Here is an 8,110-nt window from a genome sequence, read left to right on the forward strand (position 1 = left end):
GGTTGCTTTTCATGTCCTGGTTGTCACAGAGCAGAGGGCAGGAGAATAGTTATAGGGGATCAGATGCCAATGACATCAGTAGTCTAGTGGAGGCAGGCAGGCAGAGCCAGAGTAACCATGAAGATATGAACCCCAAGGAATTCTCAGAAATGTTGATAAGGGTACTAGATTTCCCATAGAACATGGGATAGAGTTTTTGAATTGTGGGTTTAGAGGAAGCAGGCACGAGCTGCATGTAGTCTACACTGTGACTGAGAGATGGTCATTGCGCCATATATGTATGAACAGTCCAGGCAGGGTCAGAGAGCAACTCAAGTAGGTGGTATATAGCTGTCCTACAGGAAGGTGTTCCCTAGGAGGTCGTTGTGCAAGGTAGATATCTGGATCAACCACACTAAAGAATTAGGAGAAAGTGGGCAACTGGAAACTGTGTCAGGGGTGACTAAGCTCTGCTTCTAGTGTAAGTCCAACTTATATTTTGAAAGGATCGTGATGCAACATAACATTGTAAGAATCTACTACAGTATTACTTAAGTTTCAGTTTGTAGGCATAGTTTTGATCTTGTCATTCATCAAAGACATTTGTACTCATGTGAATGTTTTGATTTATTAAACATGCCTTCCTAATTAAGATAGTCCAACTATGCAGTAAATACTTGAATCCTACTATTCCTCTTTGTTTTGCGAGCATTCTCAAAATCAAATTCTTTACCTGTTCCTAAGATTTGTGCATTTATAAATGACCAAAGTCCTATGGTGTTTTGGGTGTATAATCTTCCCCTTTGCAGTTTTGGTTCTGTAATTGGCCTTCTGGAGAATACATTTATATATTCAACACATATCTGTGAAGTGCAGGAGTAATGCATGGAAAGAACATGTGAGGGATATATGTGTGATATTTTCCATGGAGTGGTCAGAAAAGCTCTCACTGAGAGAATGGGAGTTTTGAGTTAAAAAAACGAATAGGAAAGAAGCAAGGCAATTAGCCATACACATATCTGGGAAAAGAGCATCCTAGGTAGAGGAAAATTCATATGCAAAAGCCCTGAGTAATTTAGGAAAACATTAAACAGGCCAATATGCTTTAAGTAAAAAGAGTGACAGAGAAATAATAGGACATGAAGTTTGAAAGCTAATGGGGACCGGAGCATGTAAGGGCTTGTAGGTGCTGGTAAGGACTTTAGCTTATATTCTTCTTGAGACAGGAAGACATAGAAATGTTTTAAGTAGGGGAGTGGCATCATCTCATTTATATCTCTCAGGATCATCATTTTGGCTACTCTTCTGAGGCTAGTGCGTTTGGAATGGTGGCGGGAACTGGAGAGGCAGTAAAGCAGGCCAAGCTCAGGATTGTGGAGAACACTGGGAGGTTATCACAAAAATTCTATAAAGGTATTGTGGTGTCCTGAACCAGTATGATGGCAAGGAAGGTGATTAGAAGTGCCAGATTCTGGATATATATTGAAAGTAGAATTCCCATGTGGGATGTAATAGCAAGAGAGGAGTCAAAAATTACTTCAAATTGACTGAGGAGCTTAAAAAAGGATGAATTTATTTACTGAGAAGGGGAAGACTGTATGAGGAGCTACTTTAGTAGGAATTATCCATTTGGATTTGGACATAATAGGTTTGAGATGCCTGCTGGATAAGGAAATGTCACTGTGGGGTGTGGTGGCTCGCACCTGTAATCCCAGTGCTCTGGAAGGCCTAGGTGGGAGGATTGCTTGAGCCCAGCAGATCAAGACCAGCCTAGGCAACATAGGGAGATCCTGTCTCTACAAAAAATTTAAAAATTAGCTGAGTCTAGTGGCACATACCTATGGTCCCATCTACTCAAAGGGAGGCCTAGGTGGGAGGATAACTTGAGCCTGGGAGACAGAGGCTTCAGTGAGCCAAGATTGCACCACTGCACTCCAACCTGCATGGCAGAATAAGACCTCATCTCAAACAGAAAAATTGGAAATGTCAAGCAGGAAGTTATGAGTATATGAGTTTGCAGTTAAACATGCTGATAGTATTTAAAGGCAGGAGATAGGGATCCCTTAGGGAGTGAGCGTAGGTAATAAAGAGAAAAGAGTTAAAGACAGTGCGTGAGACACTCTAATATTTAAAGGGTGAGGAGACAAAAAGGAGCATAGTGATATCCTGGGATCCTGGGAAGTTGAGAGAAGTTTGATTTGGCTAACTCTAATTGCACCATTGAGCGGAAGCAGGGTGGGGTTCATCATGAAAGCTGGCTTTTTCTTGCAGGGTGACTTCTTCAGATCAGGATGCAGCAACATTTTCAAACAGGAGAACATCCTGATAAAGGTCTAAACTATGATCCCATGGACAAGGGAGGCTCAGCAAGTGGTTGGAGTTTCAGGATTTCCAGGTACATGCAGAACTTGAAATTCTTCACATATCTCCATTTCAATTCTCCAGTGCTTATTCACTCCTGACCAGTGGGCTGCACGATGTGCAATCAAGCATATGGATGGTGAATCAGTCTAATTATTTTTGTCCTTGCTCCAATACTACCAGCTATTTGACCTATGAGAATTTGCTTAACTTCTTTATGCCTTAGTTTCCTAACCCATGAAACATGGAAGACAATAGTACTTACTTAATAGGGTGTTTCTGAATATTAAGTATGATAATATAAATATAGCACTTAGTACAGTGTCTTGAATATAGCATTTTCTAAGTGTTAGCCAGGACTATCATTCTGAGACTTGGTGAGGCTGGGCATTCAACAGATGGTGCAACTGGTGCAGATGGACAACTTACAGCATGAAACTTTGGCCACAGCAGCCCTGCAGCTGCCTGAACTAAATAATTATTTTGCATGATTTTAGAAAGTCCCTGGGTTTTTAAATGTATTTGACTTAAGCCAAGAATTTAGAATTTTGAACTTTTTAATAAGTTAATACTTTTTCTGTTCTAATTATATTTCACGACAGAGTATGTTTATGATATTTTTCATTATAGAAATAATATAGGTTTGTTGAAAAAAAATGGCCACCATAGATAAATGTTAGTAAGAAAGTTAAAATAAAATGAAAGCTCTTTACCTTAAGGTAACATTAAAATTGTGGTGAATTTTCTCTTACACATCTCTGTATACATCTACGAAGCTCTGAGGTCCTGCGTCTCTCCAGGAGTCCCAGAAAGTCCAGGCTCCAATCAGGTCTCAAAGTTCCCTCCTGGTACAAAAGCAACTAAGTGTTGCATTCATTTTCCCCGTCAAGATCTTGGAAGAATAGAGGCCGTGTTTGTACTGTATCAGCTCCTGAAACTGCCCTGCTTAGAAAACAGATGGTAATTGACTTGTATTTGAGAGAGGCAGGCTGTAGACTCATTCATGTCTCCCTTTTGCAGTATCCACATTCTCTTTAATAAGTGTCTATATAAAAAGTGCCAACAGATTAACCTTTCTCACACTCCAGTCTTTTTATTCACATCCTTTACACAGCCTGTGGGCTGGGCAACATGGTCACAGAAAGCCTTACTCTAGAGGATATTTTATTCTAGAAGACAATATATAGCACAGATTTTCTTCCTTCATGACCATTTATTTATGACTTTTTGTTTTACCATCTCTTGAAACATTTACCTCTTTGTGAATGACTCTGTTCTTTTTTAGTATAATGACTTTTTTTAACCTAAAGATATATATTTCTAAAGATATATATGATACAATATTTTAACATTATGTTTCTAAGCAAAGACATCCTCATCAATAGACTTGACACACAGTGTACAGTCAGACAATATTATATAAAACAATGTTTGGATGAATAAGAAATTATGTTTTGTATATGCATGCCAAGTGAAAGGGCATGAAAGGGGTGCACCTTCTATGACTTTTGAGTCCGTTTTGTGCCTGCACTATTTCCATATTTTAAAGTCTCTGTGTACAAATGTTTTTCACCCTAAAAGTGGTTTGTATGTTATAATGTTATTTTTAAGTGCAGTTTGTGGTGGAAAATTGATGAATAAAATGGTGCAAAAGAAGAGCATACCTGTGTGCACCTGTGGCCCCAGCTATTCAGGAGGGTCACTTGAGCCCATGAGGTTGAGGCTACAGTGAGCAATGTTCCCACCCACTCACTCCAGCCTGGGCAGTAGAGGAAGACCCTTTCTTAAAAAAAAAAAAAAAAAAAAAAAAAAAAAGAACTTACCTTCCAAAGAATAACTGCCTTGAGCTCTCTCTCTTTCTCCAGTGACTATTTTCTACGTTCAGTCTCCTCATTCCTTTTCAGTGAAGACAGTAAATCTTCATGGCACTTAATTTTATGTGTAAGCTGTATTTATTTACTTTTAATTGTTGTTCTTAATTATATAAACTTGTTTTCTTTGTTCAATTGATATAGTTTTCTATCCACTGGAAATTGAGTATTTTGGATTGGATGAAATGAATCATAATTTGATCCATCAAAATTAATGGAAAAAATGTCATATAATGGCTTTTCATTTAGCAGGAAAGTTTTTAGAAATGAAGTAAAATTATGGGGAAGGATATTAAATATATACGGAAGCTAAAGCAACTCCATTTTGGATGGGAGGCTAAAGCAGCTCCACCTTGGAAACTAATCTGCCATGTTGGCTTAACTGATTAACTCCAATATCTGGAAGGCCTCTAAAATTTCCATTTATCTATTGTTCCTTGTGTAAGAGAAGGTACTTAACTTTAAATCCTGTCCTTAGGTCAAACAACCTTGATGTTATCACACTTCAATTGGCCTACAAATTCCATCTGAGCCACTAATTTCACTATGGTGTGTAAGCCCTGGATCAGAGACATAATGGTGCCAGGATCCGCCATCTTGTCTTGCCACCACCAAAGACACAGACATGGCTTCTGTTCCTTAAGTCCCTATTAAATGTTTGTTTCTAAGAAACAGGATATGTCAGCCTCTTTCTTAGGCCTCTCAGCTTCCTTGGACATTGGTGTAGGTTTGCACAGACCTGCCTATCTTGAAATGGTCTAGGTGTACTTATTTAGCTGCTTCATCACTGTTTCCCATGGACTTCTGATTCCTACTGGGGACTATTCATGAGACTGTCTACCTGTAGTCTCCAATAGCTAGATAATAAATCCTAGATTCTCCATATTTTTATTTCTTACAAACTTCTTCCTATTATTAATAACTGTATTTGTTAGGATTTTTGCTTATAAGAGTGAAACAAAATCTGTCATAGCAACATTGGGATTTTCTGGAATTATATAAGGGATTCACAGAATTGAGGACAGACTGGAAGAAGAAATCAAAGCTACAGGGTCAGTCAGTCCTGGAAACTACAGTCCAAAGTTGCTGGTGGGTACTAATACTGCCACCAGATCATTACTAGTGCCATTGGATCTGACTTTTGCATCATTAATTCTAATAATCTCTGGTCATTGGCTCATTTGGTCCACATCAAAAGTAGTGGGACAGTCTCATTGACTGAACTTGGGTCATGTGTTTTCTGCCTTTGGATTCTGTAGTGGAAGGTGGGGCTCTGCATCCCTTCTGCATAGCCCCCATGGGAGATTCTCCTGAAAGATAACAGGGGAATTAGTGTTGGAAGTCCTACAGGAAACAAATATCCTTTATTGTTGCCTTCATCTTATAAGTCATAATAAACCTAGTTAGTAAAGAAATAAATCTCAAGGAGAGTCATTTTCAGGGAGAAAGGAGACGTGTTAATGTAGCACCATGTGCTAAATTAGGAGGAGGCAGTTTTGTAATAGACATGTTTTTTGTAGAGATATCTGGGTGAGCTTATTTAACAGGGGCTCTAATGTATAGGCAATCTTTTTTTTTTTTTTTTTTTTTTTGAGACAGAGTCTCACTCTCACTCTGTCACCAAGCTGGAGTGCAGTGGCATGATCTTGGCTCGCTGCAACCTCTACCTCTAGGGTTCAAGTGATTCTTCTGCCTCAGCCTCCCAAGTAGCTGGGACTACAGGTTCACGCCACCACACCCAGCTAGTTTTTGTATTTTTAGTAGAGATGGGGTTTCATCATGTTGGCCAGGATGGTCTCAATCTCTTGACCTTGTGATCCACCCGCCTCAGCCTCCCAAATAGGCAACTCTTTTAATTGTCAAAGGCTAATGTGAGGATACCAGAGGAAGTTTAATATTTTAAAGTGCATCACATAAGGGCCAAATCACATGACGATTTATTGTGTGAACACAGTTTGGATTATCCATATGATATTCATATTGACAGCACTGATTTCATTTTAGGACAACAGCATCATCTGCTATATTAATGTTGTTAATACACTTTTTGTGGGTTTTGTTTATCAATTTACTTTGGTCTCATACTTTTATGAGAGCTATAAGAATATAGGTTTTCTATCTATTTCTATGTTTGTGCATACTTAAGTCAGCACAGTACATTTGTGAATGTTTTTTCTTTCAAAGGAGGTAACACATTGCTCATTCTATGGAAACATGACTCCTAGCTTTGATTAATGCACAGATACTCATTTTTATTCCAAATGCCATTCATCAATATAGTTCTTTTGATACCTTTTATCCCTGCTACTATAAAAATAGGGATTTTTTTTTTTTGCTTTGTTTTGTAGTGCTCTCATTTGGAGGCAGTTTAGCTGAATGGTTAAGAATTTAAGTTTTGAGCTGGGCACAGTGGCTCACACCTGTAATCCCAGCACCTTGGGAGGTGGAGGCAGAAGGATTGCTTGAGCCCAGGAGTTTGAGACCACCAAGTTTTAGTAACTTATTTTATTTTATTTTATTTTTTTTGAGATAGAGTCTTACTCTGTCACTCAGGCTGGAGTGCAATGGCATGATCACAACTCACGGCAGCCTGGGCTCAAGCGATCCTCCACCTCAGCTCCAAAAGTAGCTGCAACTACATGTGTGCATAACCACACCTGGCTAATTTTTGTATTTTTTGTAGAATTGGGGTCCTATTTTGTTGCTCAGGCTAGTCTCTAACTCCTGGGTTTAAGCAATATTCCCATCTTGGCCTCCCAAAGTGCTGGGATTACAGGCATGAGCCACCACGCCTGGCCTAGTAACAAAATACGAAAATTGTTTTGCCAGACAAAAGTCATCTTTAACATTTGCCCTTACTACCCACACACATACCTGAAATGGTTTCCTGTGGCTGCTGGGTGTGCAAAAAGAGACTCTAAGGCCTTTAGGCACATGAATTCAGAGCTCAATCCTTCGCTGGGGAATGTAGTTAGAATCCACATGGCTTGAACTCCATAATGGGAGCACACTGGGTCAGCCATTAACATCCAATTCATGTAAGCTCATGACTGAGGTTGCCCTTTGAAACAACCTGAGAGTCTTAAAAAATGCAAATATCTGGGGCTCGTCCCCAGAGATTCTGATTTAATTTGTTTGAAATAAGACCTGGGCAACTATTTTTTAAAACTCCTCAGGTGTTTTTAAGGTTCAGCTTTGAAAACCTCTGCTTTGCCTAGCTTACTTCAGGACCTCATTCTTATCAATTGCCCTCCTCTACATTGTAATTAAGCCATCTGTGGAACAGTTCTCCTATTAGATAGCCAATGACTATTTCACTAGACATGTTAGACCCTTGATGAATGATGATCATTCATTTCACCTTGGACATACAGCCCAAGAATGTGCATTGCCAATAAACAGCAACTACAAGCAAATGAGTTAGTTATTGTAATGTACCCCAAAGTGATACTTCACTGATTTCTGAGAAAAAGAAAAATACAATTTATTTTTGGACAGTGATGTGATACAGAAGATCGCTATATTAGGATGGTGAGATATGAGGGAGGCTTTGGGTGGTTAGAGGGTTTATTCAATCCTATGATTCTGTGATTCTAGGTATCTGAGATCTAAAAAGTAAAGCAGCAATGGGGTTAGAAAAAAAGATTTGGACAATGAAAAGAAGGTTGTGAAATCAAAAGCCTGAGTTCTTATTTCTTTCTCGTCTTCCGTTAGGGGCCTTGCGCAAATACCACAATGAATTTACCTCCAAGCCTCCCATTAGACACAAAGCCACTTTTACTCAGAGGTTTAGTTCTCTCTTCCATTCCCTGGCAGACAAATCCTAAATTGATTCCTCTAAATCGATTTCCTCTTTCTCTTTACATTATTAACATTGCTACTAAAACTTTACTGTACTC

The 8,110-nt window shown here is 39.0% G+C and overlaps 1 annotated feature.

Annotated features, from left to right (window-relative positions):
- Nucleotides 6,936-7,557: an enhancer, noted in NCBI's record as "OCT4-NANOG hESC enhancer chr4:175355573-175356194 (GRCh37/hg19 assembly coordinates)". NCBI's record gives its function as "activates a minimal SCP1, AML or CMV promoter by ChIP-STARR-seq in naive H9 embryonic stem cells {active_cell/tissue: H9 hESC(naive)}" and the evidence as "EXISTENCE:reporter gene assay evidence [ECO:0000049][PMID:30033119]".

This window comes from Homo sapiens, chromosome 4 (genome assembly GCF_000001405.40).
Source record: "Homo sapiens chromosome 4, GRCh38.p14 Primary Assembly".
Taxonomy (NCBI): Eukaryota; Metazoa; Chordata; class Mammalia; order Primates; family Hominidae; genus Homo; species Homo sapiens.